The sequence below is a fragment of the Homo sapiens genome, chromosome 2 (genome assembly GCF_000001405.40).
Source record: "Homo sapiens chromosome 2, GRCh38.p14 Primary Assembly".
Lineage (NCBI taxonomy): Eukaryota > Metazoa > Chordata > Mammalia > Primates > Hominidae > Homo > Homo sapiens.
Window position 1 is genome coordinate 684254 of NC_000002.12, and position 17486 is coordinate 701739.

Sequence of the window (17486 nt, forward strand, 5' to 3'; positions counted from 1 at the left end):
ATTTTATAAGCTTGTGGAATATCAAAAAGAAAATGGACCTTAGATCAGGGAAGATTTTATGTGAATATGAGTTCTCACTTGGAATGACCTTAGAATACTGTTTTTTGATTATCAAAGCCTCAGCTTGCCTTTGTGAGAATAAGGACAATAATACTTTTCTAATGTGTGGTTTTAAGGATTTGGGATGAAATGCCTTAAATGCCCAGCTCTGTGCCAGGCACATGGCACATGCCTAATAAAGACCAACCATTAGGACTCGAATGTTGTTGCCTCCTCTAAAGATGAAGGTGTTTATCTTGCTGTCCTCAGGGGGTCCTCTTTTTATCTCTTTTCTTTTTAGTTCATGAGACCAACACTGTTTATTTACAAATATTTTCTGCACATGTTGATGTAATGTAAATGGAAAACACAGTGCTGCTTCCTTTATTTTTTGGATGGTGATATGGTTTGGCTTTGTGTTCTCACCCAAATCTCATGTCAAATTGTAATCCCCACATGTCAGGGGAGGAGCCTGGTGGGAAGCGATGTGATCATGGGGGAGGATTTCCTCCATGGTGGTCTCGTGAGCTCTCATGAATTCTGATGGCTTAAAAGTGTGGCACTTCCCACCTCACTCTCTCTCTTTCTCCTGCTGCCATGTAAGTAAGACATACCTTGCTTCCTCTTCACCTTCCACCATGATTGTAAGTTTCCTGAGGTCTCCCTAGCCATGCAGAACTATGAGTCAATTAAACCTCTTTTCTTTATAAATTACCCAGTCTCAGGTAGTTTTTTATATAAAAGAGTGAAAAAAAAAACTAATACAGAAAATTCGTACCAGAAGTGGGGTACTGTTATAGATACCTGAAAACATTGAAGCAGCGTTGGAACTGGGTTACAGGCAGAGGTTTGGAGGGCTCAGAAAAAGACAGATAGATGTGGGAAAGTTTGGAACTTCCCAGAAACTTGTTGAAGATGGTTTTGACCAAAATGCTGATAGTGATATGGACAATGAAGTCCAGGCTGAGGTGATCTCAGATGGAGAAAAGGAACTTACATGGAACTGGAGTAAAGGTCACTCTTGCTATGCTTTAGCAAAGAGACTGGTGACATTTTGCCCCTGCCCTAGAGATCTGTGGAACTTTGAACTTGAGGGAGATGATTTAGGGTATCTGGCAGAAGAGATTTCTAAACAGCAAAGTGTTCAAGATGTGACCTGGATGTTTCTAATGCATATAGTCATATACATTAGAGACAAGAGAACATCTAAAATTGGAACTTATGTTTAAAAGGGAAGCAGAGCATTTGAAAAATTTGCAGCCTGACACTATGTGGTAGAAAAGAAAAACCCATTTTCTGGGGAGAATTTCAAGCTGCCACGTTCAGAAATTTGCATATGTAATGAGGAACCAAAAGTTAACAGTCAAAACAGTGGGGAAAATGTCTCCAGGACCTGTTGGAGACCTTTACAGCAGGCCCTCCCATCACAGGCCCAGAGACCTGGGAGGAAAAAGTGTTTTTGTGGGCCAAGTGCAGGGCACAGATGCTCTGTGCAGCCTCAGGACATGGTGCCCAGTATCCCAGCCACTCCAGCTCCAGCCATGACTAAAAGGGGCCAAGGTACAACTTGGGACATGGCTTCAGAGGGTGCAAGCCCAAGCCTTGGCATCTTCCACATGCTGTAGGGCCTGCCGGTGTGCAGAAGGCAAGAATTGAGGTTTAGGAACCTACTGCTAGATTTCAGAGGATGAATGGAAACACCTGGATGTCCAGGCAGAAGGTTTTCTGCAGGGGTGGGGCCCTCATGGAGAAGCTTTGCTAGGTCAGTGCAGAAGGGAAATGTGCGTTTGGAGCCCCCACACAGAGTCCCTGCCCAGTGGCACTGTGAGAAGAGGGCCACCATAGGTATGGTGGCCACCATCCTCCAGATCCCAGAATGGCAGATCCACTGACAGCTTGCACTGTCAATTAAAGCTGTTTTGTTTTGTTTTTTTTATAAATTACCCAGTCTTGAGCAGTTCTTTATAGCAGCATGAGAGTGCACTGACAGTGCACCTGTAAACACTGCAGGCACTCAGTGCCAGTCCTTGAGAGCAGCTGTGGGGGCTGAACCCTGCAAAACATGAGGTGGAGCTACTCAAGGCCTTGGAAGCCCACCTCTTGTGTCAGCATGCCCTCAATGTGAGACATGGAACCAAACGAGACTATTTTGCAGCTTTAAGATTTAATGACAGCCCTGCTGGATTTTGGACTTGCATGGGGGCCTGTAGCCCCTTCATTTTGGCCAATTTATCCCATTTGGAATGGAAGCCTTTACTTTGCCTGTACCCCCATTGTATCTTGAAAGTAACTAACTTGTTTTTGATTTTATAGGTTCATAGTCAGAAAGGAATTGCCTGGCTTCAGATGAGACTTTGGACTTGGAATTCTGAGTTCATGATGGAATTAGTTAAGATTTTGGGGGACTGTTGGGAAAGCATGGTTGATTTTGCAATGTGAGGACATGTGATTTGAGAGGGGGCAGGGTTGGAATGATATGATTTGGCTCTGTGTCCCCATCCAAATTTCATGTGGAATTGTAATCCTCATGTGTCAGGAGATAGACCTGGTGGGAGGTGATTGGATCATGGGGGTGGATTTCCCCCATGCTGTTCTCATAATAGTGAGAGAATTCTCATGAGATCCAATGGTTTAAGAGTGCGGCACTTCCTCTGCTGCTCCTGCCACCATGTAAGACATGCCTTGCTTCCCTTCACCTTTTGCCATGATTGTGTTTTCTGAGATCTCCCCAGCCATGTGGAACTGTGGGTCAATTAAACCTCTTTATAAATTACCCAGCCTCTGGTAGTTCTCTATGGCAGTGTGAAAACAGACTAATAAAGATGGCATTATTTCCAAATAGTCACTTGGCAAAATCATGGCAGTTGATGAAATGCCCATGTTAGAGGCCAGAAGAAGTCATAATCCAGTGTCATCTTTGTTTGTTATACAGATGAAGGGATTAAACAAATCCTTCCTATTAATACTCCCTTCTCTCCAAAGTACCAAAAAATGTTTAGAAACAGAGTTCAATAAGTCACTTACAGAAAAGAATAATAATGATATATCAATATCATGAACATTAGAAATGTATACCATACAAATAATTATTAATTGGCCAATATTTAAATAAAGGTGCTATTCCCGTTCTTTGATATCAGTTGATGACTAGAGGTAGGAATAGTCTTTGCTACTTAAACTTCACCTAAAATGTTTCTCAGAGATTTCCAATTCAAAGTGAACATAACTTTAATGACACTTGAAAAATTATCTTAGTATAGGCTATTTCTAAGTTATTTATTTATTTATTTATTTTTGCTTTTCCTTTCATCAAAATGGACTCCAATATTTACAAATCTTTCCAAAGTATTCAATTTAGTCCTAACTCAGGAATTATGAATATTAGTATTTAATTTAGTTAAATGATATAATGACAAGCAAAACTATATTGGCTTGGGAAGAAATACAGCTTACTTTCCATAAATAGGTGAATCCCTGGCTAGGAACACACACATGCTGGCCTTGGGACTTTCTAACTCTGTAGGACACAGCAAATCAAAATAGAGGTCCTGGGAGGGATCCACTAATTTAGTGAGTTAGACAAAGAATGATTTATGGCAGTAACCACATTCAGGAGAAATATTCCTATAAAAACTCAGCAAATATGGAAAACTGAGCACATGAAGCAAAAATATTTAAAGATTTTCAGAAATTTGGAAAACCTAAATTACATTTTAAGACATAGGATGTCATGATCTATTTTGTGCTGATATAGTAGAATACCTGAGACTGGGTAGCTTATAATAAACAGAAATGTATTGGCTCACAGTTCTGGAAGCTGGAAGCTCAATATCAAGGTGTTGGCATCTTGCAAGGGCCTCCTTGCTGTGCCATCATATGGCAGAACGCACAGAGAAGGAGAGAACCACTCCATTAATCCCACCATGAGGGCAGGGCTCCTGTGGCCTAACGACCTCTTAAAAGTCTCCCTCTAAATACTGATGGAATGCCAATTAAGACTCAATGTGAGTTTTGGAGGGGACAAACATTCAGACCTTAGCACAGGAATCATGAATGTAGGCAGTAGAAATATATAAACAAGGTTATAATCATCATTGAGCACTATTTGATATTTATCTTCAATATTTGTGGTTTGAATTTTCTGACCATGGGGAGACCTCAGAGAAACCTCAGAGAGACTTTGGAAAGACCACAGAGACCTCAGAGAGATCATAGAGATGCCTTGGAGAGACCACAGAGACACCTCAGAGCAATCAGAGAGAGACCACAGGGAGTCCACAGGGTGACCACGGAGAGACCTCAGAGAGACCATGAGGAGATAATAGAGAGACTTTGGAGAGACTGCAGAGACCTCAGAGAGACCACAGAGAAACCTTGGAGAGACCACAGGGAGTCCACAAGGAAACCACAGACAGACTATGAGGAGACCATAGAGAGATGCTGAAGAGACTACAGAGAGACCTCAGAGAGACCACCGGCCGACCTCAGAGACACCTCAGAGAGACCACAGAGAGAACACAAATGGACCACGGGGAGACCACAGAGAGACCAAGCCTGTGGCCTGTGGATTTCAGCCAGTGCAGCCCTTCAGCCTTCTGACAGGCAGCACTGTGGGGCCGTCTGGGTTGTTTTCAGCCACTAAGTTTTTGGTAATTTGGCAGCAGCCACAGGAAATGAACGCATCCCCACACCTTTCTCCTTTAGCTTTTTTGCAATTTCCACGTATATCTTGCCCCTTTATTTTATGCTGAAGTTTTGAGTATCAATATGTATATAGCACTTGTTCTATTAAAAATACACAGAGTTGGCCATGCACGGTGACTCACACCTGTAATCCTGCACTTTGGGAGGCCAAGGTGGGCAGATGCCGAGGTGGGCAGATCACAAGGTTAGGAGTTCAAGAGCAGCCTGGCAAACATGGTGAAACCCCGTCTCTACTAAAAATACAAAAATTAGCTGGGTGTGGTGGTGCGTGCCTATAATCCTAGCTACTCAGGAGGCTGGGGCAGTAGAATCGCTTGAACCCAGGAGGTAGATGTTGCAGTGAGCTGAGGTTGTGCCATTGCACTCCAGCCTGGGCGACAGAGCAAGACTCTGTTAAAAAAAAAAAAAAATTACTCAGAGTATTTTTGGAATTGACCCGATAGTATTTTTCTTTTCTTAGTGGGAGTAAAACATTCCAAGATGTAATATGTAATGTTTGTTCTCTAGCTCTCTTTTTAATTAACAAGCGTGAAGACAAAAGTTTCCACTTTTAGCTTTTACATTAGAAGTATTTTCTTTGCTCATTTTTTCCCTTTTAACTAGCATTTTATATTTATTCTACTGTATACTATTTACATCTAAAATAAGAGCCACTGTCTCTTATTTTAGTAAATATTTATTTACTAAACAGTAAAATATTTATTAGCATTCTTAAATGAATGACAAAATACTTATTTTTAAATTTTTTCATTAACCCCATCACCCCCAATTTCCATGAAAGCAAAATAAAGTGTTTTAAATCTATTACTATAATGAGTTTTCTATTATGTCCTTTATTTTATAAACTTATTTTTGACAGTTGCATTTTTCAAATGCCTTTTAATATCATTACTTTGAACACAAATTCAATTTTTCCACTTTGTTGATCACTGGCATTTTTGTTAATACTTTCTCTTTCTGGTTCTTCAGTCTTTATTTTTACCACCTGTGCCGGTGGGCTTCTCTGCCGGAAGCTGCAGTGCCTGGCTGAGGCTGTCCCCGTGGTGCTCTCAGGCTCAGCCAGCACGTGGCCCTGGGCTGGCTGCATTTCTCCTCTGCCCCGGGGCTGCCGGAGCCCCATGTCCCTGCCCATCGGTGGAGGCTGGGCTGAACCCCACATGCTGCCCTGTGAGGTCCGTGCTATGGTTGGGATCCATTTCCACCTAGATTTACCCGTTGAAGCCTTGACCTACCTTGCAGGGCACCTTTACTCCTTCCAGTTTAGGCGTTTGTGTTGCTTTCTTCCCAGGATTCAGTGGCATGGCGGCCTTCACTGGGCAGAGATTTGTGGTCAAGCTGAGTCCGGCTGCCACGTCCCAGCCTCGCCCTTCTCTGCCAGACAAGACTCACCCTCACTGGGTGTCTGTGGCCGCGCTGTCCCCCACGTTCAGCACTTGTTCTGAACTTGTTGGTAGCCTGGAGATTTTATTCAATGTAAATTTAAAGAAGAAAAAGCCGATGACACTCGCTTATCAAAATGACTAGCACGCAGACGGTTTTGTCTGAGGAAGCGATCTCTGAATAAAAATATTAAAACCTTTTTCACATTTCATGTTTACTCATGACAGTAGACAAAAAATGTTAAGCAAGATGAGGAAGGCCTGAGTCCAAGAGTGAGAAATTTCACAACAAATGATTTAGCTATGAAAAGAAAAATAGTTTGGGCAATAGAACTTGAACTATCATAGGAGAAAAGCATAAGGTTAGATTATTTAGAAAAATATATCAAGACTCGAATACGAAGGTAAACAGCAATGTGCCTTGTTTCAGAGAACAAATAACTCATAGCATAAAAAAGAATGAAAAGGAGATAAAGGCATTTGGAAAAGAAATTTAACGGTAACGTAGAAGTCAGTTGAAGTCCTGTTTTTCTGTTTGTAGGATCTATTTTTAACATATTTACAAACAAACTAACAAAAAACTACCTCAGCTGACAGATTTACAAACGAGCCAGAGGACCCTGGGACTGTGGCACACGCCGCTTGCATCAAGGTTTTGCGCCAGGAGAGGGAAGCTGGGCGGGTGCTCCGAGGGAGGAGTCCAGAGCTGTTTTCTGCAGTTCTCAGAAGAGCCCCGTTGAGCTGGGATTCTTCACTGAAATATATCATTCCTCCTTTAACTTGAAATAAAAAAAATCATAAACTCTCCTGTGCCGAAGCAGATACCCAGGAAAGCGTTGCCTCATGTTTCACAGTTTTCTCAGAACTTTGAAAATGTGACTAAAAATTATCTAAAAATGGATACAGTATACTTCATATTCACCAAAATCAAATAAAACATTTAGGTTCTAATTTACCATCTTACTTATTGATTCAATTAAATATGTTTTACTTACCAAATGTGAGTACTTTCTATCCTCTTTTTAGATTTAGTGACTAATAAACTCTAAATAAAGCATTTCAAACTTACTTCATTATGCATTCTGGCATTTATTTGGAAGTTTTCATATCTTGATTTTAAAGATTTGAAATTGGCTTTAATTTTTATATAGTGTATTTTTCTCAAATAATTTATAACTCAAGTTGACGTAAATGTCTATGAAACTGTGTTTATATTGACTGTAAATGTCCACCCAAGACTACTTTGGGCAAAGGTCATTGTGAAATGAGATGCTCATGCACTTAAAAAAAAAAAAAAACTAAATTATCAAAAATATAGATGTTAAAGTCATATAGGTTACAAATTTACAGTTATAAATATACAACTTATGAAAAGGCATCCATTTACCTGTAATGTTAGAAGTCATGTTTCTAACGCTTACAGTAAAGCACACTGGCTCAGAGGCTGACCCAGAAGCAGGCTCGCTGCTCTAAGCACAAAGGCGTGCGGTGGATTTCCAAAGTCAGAATTTCAGGAGCAACGCCAGACACCAGTGTCAGCGGTCTCAGCCGCACTCAGAAGCCAGTCGGGAGAGGACGGCTGCCCTGGCCTTTTCCACGCCCCGCATCTCTCTCCAGCTCAGTTCCAAGATCAGGACGCAGATCAGGCGGCGCAGGGCCATGCCTGCACCCGCGCCGGGGCCCCAGCTGGAATTCACACGCTGCTCCACGCTTCCCCTGGGCTCCCCATCAGCCCCGCAGCTCTCGGACTCTCCATCCTCAGCGGCTGCTCCCTTGGGGGTCCCTCCTGCCTGGGGCTTGTGTGGGCCTCTATTGGCTTTTATCCTGGACAGGCATGCTAGGACCACTCCCACGGGGCCTCTGGGCATGGGAGACAGTCCTCTCTTCCCTCGGGCAGCAGCAACTCCATTCTCTCATGGTCACCTGGGCCCCCTATTAGCCCCTTTGTTCTGTGGGCCCTGAAGTGCTTAGAACTGCACAGTGGCTGGGGACCATCTCAATCTCTAGCCCCCGGAACCATTTCTGTGCCTGGTGGGAGCATTTCTCCCTGGTGTCGTCTTGCTGAGGGTAATTTATATTGGCTGTGGAAACAGAGAAAGACCGGGGTCTCAGTGGCGTCATGCCTTTTCTGGCTCATGACACATCCAGTCTGGGTCTGCCTGGCCTCCCGAGGTTCTCACGGCTGTCTCTATAGGAGGAAGAGGGCTGGGAGATGGTACAGAAAGTGGAAAGGGCCTGGCCTAACACTGTCTACACCACTTCTGCCCACGTTCCATGGTTCAGAACCTCCCCACACAGCCCCTGTGCCATGACCCTCCTGACACCACGGCCTCTGGGGCCTGCGGCACCGGCTGGCGGGAAAATACCACCCGGAGTCACAGGTGTGCAATATTGCCCTCTCAACTACCGAGGCTGGTAGTGTGAGCCAAGTGCAGCCTGCCAGGCCGGGTGGGCGAAAAGAGCTCAGCAGGCCAGAGCAAAACTCAGGCAAAGGCCCCACCAGCCACAGAGGTTTCCAGCCAGAAAAACGACACCCCCGCAATCCCATAACAGTATCTGAGAAGATTCAGCTGGACACCTACACACTGTGCCCTGTAGGCAGTGGCTCCTCCCACCTCCCACACTTACCCCAGGCAGCGGCTCCTCCAGCCTCCCACACTTACCAGGAGCCCAGCAAGCTCTTCCTTAGGCTGAAGCCATCCTGACTCAAATCTGCAAGAGACTCGGGTATCTTGAGGGTGCTAAATCAAGTTTAGCCTAAAGCTGCCTCCTTACATATTTTAAGTTCGGCCTAAAGGTTTTTCTGCACATCATGAACCATAACAAGGAGAGGTGTAAGTAGACCGTAGCCTACACTTGTGCCAGTCACTGAGTTTCGGCCAATCAAACATAGCCAACTGTTCAAACTGTGTTCAAATAAGGCAAATGCTGAGCCATAACCAATCCAATGTCCCTTCAATGTCCATAAATCTTCTTCCAACCAAATGGTTGTGCTGGAGCCTCTGAACCTACTCTGACTCAGAAGGCAGACTGATTCGCAATTCATTCATTGCTCAAAGACTTTTAAATTTAATTTGGCTGAAGTTTTTATTTTATCAAGGGTTACCCCACAGCAAGAGCCCCTACAGAAGCCCGCACGTCATGCTTGCCATCCGCCTTCCTTCTCTCTCAACAAAGAAGGAGACCAGGATTTGGAATAGTGGAACCCAATTTTTTAAAAGTCGACAACTCCTGGAAGCCACTGTAGCGACTCGGAATCAACATTCTCAGGTAAGAAGCTCCGAGATTTAAGAGCGTGCTCTGCCCCCGTGATTTCTTGTGGAGGACTCCATCCCAGCACATCTGTATATATCCCATAATAATAGCTGACTTGTCCTGCATCTCACTTTCATTATGAGAAAAATCATAGTTACAGAGTCACATATTTTTAACCACATCAGGAGATGACCTCATCAGTAAATAGAAAGGGGTTATACGTAAGAAATGGGAATTTGTATGTGAGATTGGGTGCATGAAGATCACTGACTTTATGACAAAGGAAAGTCTGGAATTAGGTATTTACAGGGTTCTTTCTTTTATTATGAAATTACACTTCTTTGTCGAAGTTTGCTTTCAAGGGCTTGGTCCTGGCTGTAGAAAACACATTAAAAAGACACAAAACTTGCTCCCTTTATTTTCCGTCCAAATGCCTTCTTGGTCTTTGAATTAGACCTAACAAAATTGTAATGATTTCATTAATGAAAGGATAGAAATAAACCAGAAAGCCTGGGTTTATTTCTATCCTGCTCCTAGAGAAGATGATTATTCCATGTGTGTTTTGTTCTGGGCTTTTAAATGTACCATCTTATCAGGAGATTGCTAACATGACAAGTATTTTAAAAATAAACAAAACCATTTCATAAAATGTAACAGACCATAAACATACTCCACATTGTGTCTAATAGTTTGCTGTTTTAAAGCATGTGTGTTAAGGAATTACTGGTTTACTCCACTCTCTTCCATTGGCTGACAGAGAATATGCTGACTTTGTTTTTCTGTGCAAGATGTTTAACGTAGTGTGTAATAATACCGACCTCCACAAGAGAACCTAAACAAATAAACCTAAGGAAGTTAAAACTTCTCTCTCTTGATTTTGAAGTTCTCTTTCCCATATAACTTATAGAAGCATATTTTTATTTCCTTTACCTCTACAAATTTACAGTAAGCTCAATTTCATTATTTTAAGAGTTCAGGCCCTCTAATAATATCTCCTCCACACAACCACGCAGAGCATTTATTCAAAAGGCTGCATAAAGCTGTTTTGTGAAAGCTTTAGCTGACAAATATCCTGAAATCACCATCTTCCATTTCCTGCTGGAGGGCTATGCTTTTCTCCTGCAGTTCGGTGAGACATCCTTCTCTCTGCAGCCTCCTCCGTTTACTTTACAGGAGGGTCCAGGCTTCCTTTTCTTCAATAATCTATTATGCCTTACTTCATAGTGGTATTCAAATTGTTCATTCAATAGTAGTATTTTAAATTTTATTTTGCTTGTATATTTGCCTTTCACTAAAGAATATAAATGAAACAGACTTTTATATATCTATTTTAAATTTACTCTGGCATAGAAAAGAAAGTTAATTTAGAATTTCGGCAGGTCCTTAATGCCAGCTTTTCCCTCTTGCCAGGCTCACATTTCTAACGTAGTTCCCTTTTTTACCCGTTGGAAATCTATCACAAAAACACCCATGCTGTTTTTATAAAGACTTATTTTTCCTGGCTTTATTTCCTACCACAATCAGAAGAAACACGGAGACTCTAGCTGTCTAAAAACCTGGGTCCTCGTTAGAACTTTCTGTTGCCAAGGGCAGGCTTCTCTTAGTTGCTTGCTGAGCAGAAATGCCACCTTCCCACTGGGCTCCATGCCAGCTCTGGTGGCCTAGGAAGAAGGGGAGAGAAAGCTGCCAGGAACAGGCTACAAGATTCCTCCAAAGACCTTGATGTCCAGGTTAGGAAACCATGTGTTCCTATGACTTCCCATATAAACAGGATAAATGTTTGTTATCCATGTGGCTGGGGCTTGTGTTCCAGGAGTGAGATTCAAGTTGCTTAGCGCTTCCTAGAAAAGTGTTGGTCTGTTAGAAACAGGCATGAGAAGCCTGGTAATTACCAGCACTGCTGATCACACTGGAGGAAAGAAAAAACTATCTTCATCTTAAGTGGGATTTCCAAAGCAAGCATGAGGAGTTCCTTATTAGAGCCATAATAGCTTCAGAGATGATACATTTATTCCCAGGAAATGTATCAGACATGCATCTTCCACCTTCTGTACATTATAAACTTTGCAGAAAATAGCTAGTTGACTCAAATTGATGAAATGATCATTTTTTAATTTATTACACTGTGACAGCTGTACATATTTCTCATTTGCTTAAAGTTAATTTGATCCAGAAATTATTGATCAACATAAAGCTTATTTAGAAGATAATTTTATATGTTGATATTCCTTAATAAATATTTTCAAAACTCAACAAAGGTATTGGCACCTTACATTCTGCATACAAAATTACAGTATGCTTTACAAGTGAAAATAAAAATAGAATATTATGCCAGAAATAAAAAGACTTTTAAATTATTAATTTAACTATTGATACACCCCTACAAACTGAACTTTTAAACTTTAATGTACTGTCTAGATTTAAGTTGGTATCGTCTTACATGTTAAAAAATAATTGTGCTTATCAAACATTGATTATGAAACTACTTTCTCCTCAAACTTTTTTAAAATTTGGGAACATAATTTAATCTTGGTTTATCACATCCGTTGTTTCAAAAATCACATTAGTTTTAGAAAAAAGGGTACTATGAACCAGAGGGAATAAAACTGTAAAGAAAAAATTAAGAGAGAGGGTAGAGAGCCATAAACTGTTGTTCAAATCACTGGTGTGTGCCACAGAATTTACCAACTTCTCACACTGCATCCAAGGCATCGCCCCCATGACTGTCCTGCCAGCTCACAGGGAAGATCTCTCTCCTTCTCCACACAACATTTGCCATTTTTGGGAAGTCAGTGTCATCAGGAATCTAAGGCTATTTTTCTTTCTCAGAGCCTTAATATTTTCCCCAAGGCCAAAAACATTTTCTACTTTAAATGTCTTAAAATACTCTTCCTGTCTTTCCCCATAAAGACCAAATCCCTGATGGCTGGTGTGGCCAGGCATGTAGTGGAGGCTGGCCCTGGAGAGAAGAGGAACAGAAACTGATTTTAATCTCAAGGGGCTGAAGCTGGAGCTCCACATGTGACCCCCAGAAGCACGGGTTAGTGAGAAGAAGGGTGCCCTCAAAGAGAGGCTGAGACACAGCTGGGTGACCTCAGTCCCTAGGTGAGCAGGCGTCATCTGCCTCTAGCTGGGCCACCAGCCAGCGTCAAATGGCTCCGCTTTGGGGAAAGACTGTATCATCCGGAGCCCCCCATTATCTCTGCTATCATTTACACAATCATGTGACATTCACTCAGATGTCACCAAGCACACACAGAGACTTCACTGACTCCCCACAATCAGGACATTTAATCTCAATCAAAATCAAACATCAGGAGATCAGAAATCAAACAAGGCTATCAGACAGACTTAACAATTGATAAATATGCTCAATAAATTATTTGACAAGATGGGAAATTTGTTCCCTATCTTGACATAATGATCATATGTTTGCGTAATAGTAATCATTGACTAATGTCCATAGCCTATTTGGGATTCCTTAGTTGCTAACCTGATGTTATCTTTCTGTTCCAGGACCCCATCCGGGACGCCGCTGTGCATGCAGCTGTCACATCTCCCTGGACCCCCCTCTGCTGGCAGTTTCTCAGATTTTCCTTGTTTTCGATGACTGGGATAGTTTTGAAGAGTAATGGTCAGGCATGCTGTAGAATTTCTCTCAGTTGGGGTTTTTCTGATGATCTGATTGGGATTATGGAATTTGGGGAAGAAGACCATAGAAGTAAAGTGCTATTTTTATTACACCCTGCCAAGGAGCCTTCTGTCAATGACTCATCACTAAATCACCCGCCTCACCTGGCGGTCGTGGCCTCTGCCAGGTTTCTCCACAGGAAAGTTACTCCCTTGTCCCGCTTTCCAGACTCACTGGAGCAAAGTCACTATGCATGGGCTTCACTTAAGCAGCGGGAGTTACGCTCTCTTCCCCTAAGAACATGGAGTCTGCAACTTTATTTGGAATCCTCTGCAAGAGAGATATGTCTGTTAAATATTTACCCATTAGTTCATATCACGATAAACTCATAGGTATTTATTTTATAATTGGATTATGAGCCAATGCTGCTTTTTGTTATCATTATTGTTTAATCTTTCCAGTTTCAGTTGCAGGCCAGATCTTTCCATTGGCTCCTGTGGCCCTGACGTGCCCTGGCAATGTGGCTGTTCATTTTTATTTTTTCAGCAGTTATTAATTTCCTAGCACTACAAGGTGCCCCCAGCTTACCTTGTCTATTTCCTGTTCTACTCCTAGAATCCACAGTTTCTCTGGGGAGCCCTGGTTCCTTTTACTGGAGATTAGCAATTGAAGCAAAGATCTGGGTATTTCATGTTATCTTTGATATTGGGTTGTCATTGCTTTTAGCCCTAGTGAGTGACAGAGCAGGAATCTACACATGTACATACATATTTCTATAAATATTTCTTTATGGAACTTATGTTGAGGACCACATGAATGCACACTGGTTTCTCCACTCCTAATCCATGTCCAGATGATCATTCTGGCCTTAAATTGCTCTTCTTTTCTTCTTCCTAAGGCGGAAGCTTAGATTATTAATTTTATATCTTTACTTTTTTATGATGTGCATTTAATGCCATAAATTTCCATTAAGTACTGCTTTCACTACATCCCTCAAATTTTGATAAGTTGTATTTTCATTTTTATCTAGCTCAAAATATTTTAAAATTTCTCTTGAAAGTTCTTTGACTCGTGTATTTAAGTGTGTACTGTTTAACCTTTAAATATTCGGGTTTTTTCTTTCCATCTATTGTTCTGCTATTGATTTGCAGTCAATTACAGTGTGATCTGGGAACATATGCTGTGTTCTCTGACATTTTTAAGGTGTGTTTTACAGTCGAGCATGTGGTCCATCTTGGTTAATGTTCCATGAGTTGGAGAATGTGTATTCTACTATTGCTGCATGGAGTATTTTATAAACAGCAATTAGAGCAAGTTGATGGTTCTGTTCAGGTTCTGTTCAACTATGTCCTTACTGATTTTCTGCCTGTCGTATCTCTTCGTTAGTGAAGGGGAGGTGTTGAATTCTCCAGCTGTAGTAGTAGATTCGTCTCTCTATCTTTTCAGTCCTATTGAGTATTGATTCACATAACTTGATGCTCTGTTGTTAGGTATGTCCATGTTTACTATTGTTATGCTTTATTGAATAATTGAACCATCTATCATGTAATGCCCCGTCCTGCCCCGATCTATCTCTGAATATTTTTTCTTGTTCTGAAGTCACCTTTGTCCTAAGCTAATTTCTCTAGACCAGTATTATTCTGATTAGTATTAGTATGAATCCATCCCCTGTGCATCTTTTTCCATCCCCTGTGCATATGTTACGTATAACTTTTGAAATTTTTCTACAGTTCTCGAATTCCTATTGTTTTAAAATTTTCAGTCATTTTTATTGTGAAGTTCCTATTGACATATTTTTAAGTCACTGACTCTTGGCAGAATCCATTCCACTGATGAGCCCATCAACAACATTCATTATTTCCTATTAGAGTGTTTCGATTTGTAGCCTTTCCTTTTTATTCTTTCTTAGTATTTTTATCTCTTTGATTACATTGTCCATCCAATTTTGAGTATTGCCTTCTTTTTCTATGAGAGCCTTTAAATACTTTAAATACTTTAAATACTCTTTAAAATACTTTAAATACTTTAAATACTCTATCTAATACTTCTAAAATCCATGCAATATCTGAGTTCATTTTCATGTTTGTCTCTTTAGACTATTTTTTCTTACTTTCTAGCTTATCACATAGTATTTTATCTTGTCAAAAGCCAGATATAATTATCAGATAATAGAAACTGAGGCAAAAATGTCTTTACTGTGTGATTCTTTGTTAATCTGGCTAGGATTTGAGTTGTGTTTATTTTTTTTCTAACTATATACACCAGATGCTTCATATTTCTCTTGTGCTTTTGTTTTTGTCCCATATTGTCTTGGGGCTTCCCTAGAGACTTCTTCTTAAATAAAGTATAAAATATGCACTTCTTTCCATTGTATTCCTCAATTGCCAATATGAGGAATATAAAGTGGTTACCAGCAAGCAAAATAGAAACTACCATAAGAGGAAACAATGAATAAATTTATGTCAATATATTTAAATTTGAATAAAACAATTTCCTAGATAGGCACCACACATCAAAATTATACAAGAATAAATAGAAAATTTGAATAGATATCTAGCTCTTAAAGACACAGAAGCTGTTATTAAAACCTTAGTGCAATATAGACTCATGTGTCAGATGGCTTCATTGATAAATTCTTCCAAACTTTTACTAAATAAATAACCAAGACTATCACTGACAGGCACTTGGGTTGGTTCCAAATCTCTGCTATTGTGAAAAGTGCTGCAATAAGCATACATGTGAATGTGTCTTTACAGTAGAATGATTTATAAACCTTTGGGTATATACTCAGTAAGGGGATTGCTGGGTCAAATGGTATTTCTGGATAAAGAAAAAATGACACATATATACCATGGAATACTATGCAGCCATAAAAAAGAATGAGTTCATGTCCTTTGTAGGGACATGGATGAAGCTGGAAACCATCATTCTCAGCAAACTAACACAGAAACAGAAATCCAGACACCACATGGTTTCACTCGTAAGTGGGAGTTGAACAATGAGAACATGAGAACACATGGGCACAGGGAGGGGAACATCACATACCAGGGCCTATCAGGGAGTAAGGGGCTAGGGGAGGGATAGCATTAGGAGAAATACCTAATGTAGATGACAGGTTGATGGGTGCAGCAAACCACTATGACGTGTATACCTATGTAACAAACCTGCACGTTCTGCACATGTATCCCAGAACTTAAAGTATAATAATAATAATAATAATAACCCAAGACTATGTCAATTCTTCATGGTAAAATGAAAAATATAGAATTCATTGTAATGGGTTTTATGATACCAGTATTACCTTTATTCACAAATCTGACAATATGGATTACTGGACAATTTATGTCTTAAATGTGGATTCAAATATGACAAACAAATATAAGTAAAATGGGGTCCTTGATATATAAAATAGATAAATATAAAAACTGAGTTTATATTAATGTATTTTTATATATTAAGAAAATAAAGTAAAAATTATCTAGGTAAATGACAAAAACATTTGATAAAATTCAATATTTATTAATTATTTTTAAATACCTTACAAAAATTTGCTATAAAAATTACCTTCTTTCTCTGATAAATGGTATCACCAGAGCCAAAAACAAATCTTAGATCCAATATTATTAATATATTAAAAGCTTCTATCTTCAGATCAGGAATAAGAAAAAGATATTTATTATTAACAATTTTAGTCAACATTTTATAGGAGTTTCTTGACAGTGAAATAAGTCATGTAAATACATGGTAAAATGTTTTAAGTAAAGAAATACATGTGTCTTCATTTACAGATAACACATGGTTATAAAAGTAATTTTTTATAAATTATCAAATTTAACAGGTTAAGTTAGGCTTGCTGAATACAATGTCACTATACAAAAACCATTTTATTTTCTAGCACTTAATATAAAAAAATTTAATCATGCTATTTACCATAGTATCCAAAGTTATCAAATATCTAGAAAACAATCTATCTAAATATGTGTAAGACCTCTATACCAAAATTATAAAAAGGTTATTGAGAAAAGTGGGTGACAACCTAAACAAATGAAAAAAATATACTATTTTCTCAGATTGGAGGAAGCATTATTGTGAGAGTAAAAATTCTCCCTATATTCCAGTTGGCTATTTTTATGTGTGTGTTGATGACAGACATGCTAATATAAGATTTATGTAGAAACAGAAAGAAACAAGAATAGCAAAAAATTTTGAGGAAGAGCAAAGATAAGAACATACATTGCCCAATATCAAGTTTTATTGGAAAACTAAGTTCTTAAGACAGTGTGGCACTAGTGAAAGGGATTAAAAACAGATCGATGAAGAGTCAGGAGAAAAGAAAGCACACTGGGAAACTTCATCTAAAACAAAGCTGGCCATTTTCACAATATTTATTCTATCCATCCATGAGAATGGGATGTGTTTCAATTTGTTTGTGTCATCTATGATTTCTTTCAGCAGTGTTTTGTAGTTTTCCTGGTAGA

The 17486-nt window shown here is 39.9% G+C and overlaps 2 long non-coding RNA genes across 3 annotated transcripts in view, besides 1 other annotated feature; both read right to left on the reverse strand.

Moving 5' to 3' along the window:
• Positions 1 to 5101: 5101 nt before the first annotated feature.
• On the reverse strand, positions 5102 to 7764 carry LOC105373479 (uncharacterized). 2 transcript variants are annotated; one of them, XR_007086154.1, is made up of 4 exons: positions 7510 to 7764; positions 6708 to 6901; positions 5976 to 6198; positions 5102 to 5133 (listed from the first exon to the last, which is right to left on the reverse strand). It is a non-coding gene; the product is annotated as an uncharacterized LOC105373479 (long non-coding RNA). The 2 variants fall into 2 exon arrangements; XR_001739249.2 differs by lacking the exon at positions 5102 to 5133 and having other exon boundaries at positions 5561 to 6198.
• Positions 5842 to 6341: an enhancer, noted in NCBI's record as "H3K4me1 hESC enhancer chr2:690095-690594 (GRCh37/hg19 assembly coordinates)". NCBI's record gives its function as "activates a minimal SCP1, AML or CMV promoter by ChIP-STARR-seq in naive H9 embryonic stem cells {active_cell/tissue: H9 hESC(naive)}" and the evidence as "EXISTENCE:reporter gene assay evidence [ECO:0000049][PMID:30033119]".
• A 4967-nt stretch (positions 7765 to 12731) lies between the features above and the next one.
• LOC105373358 (uncharacterized) overlaps positions 12732 to 17486 on the reverse strand; it is a 34222-nt gene continuing 29467 nt past the window's right edge. Inside the window, exons 3-4 of the long non-coding RNA XR_001739247.2 lie at positions 13173 to 13338; positions 12732 to 13058 (exon numbers count right to left, since the gene is read on the reverse strand). This is a non-coding gene — a long non-coding RNA (uncharacterized LOC105373358). The remainder of the gene's footprint in view (positions 13059 to 13172; positions 13339 to 17486) is intronic.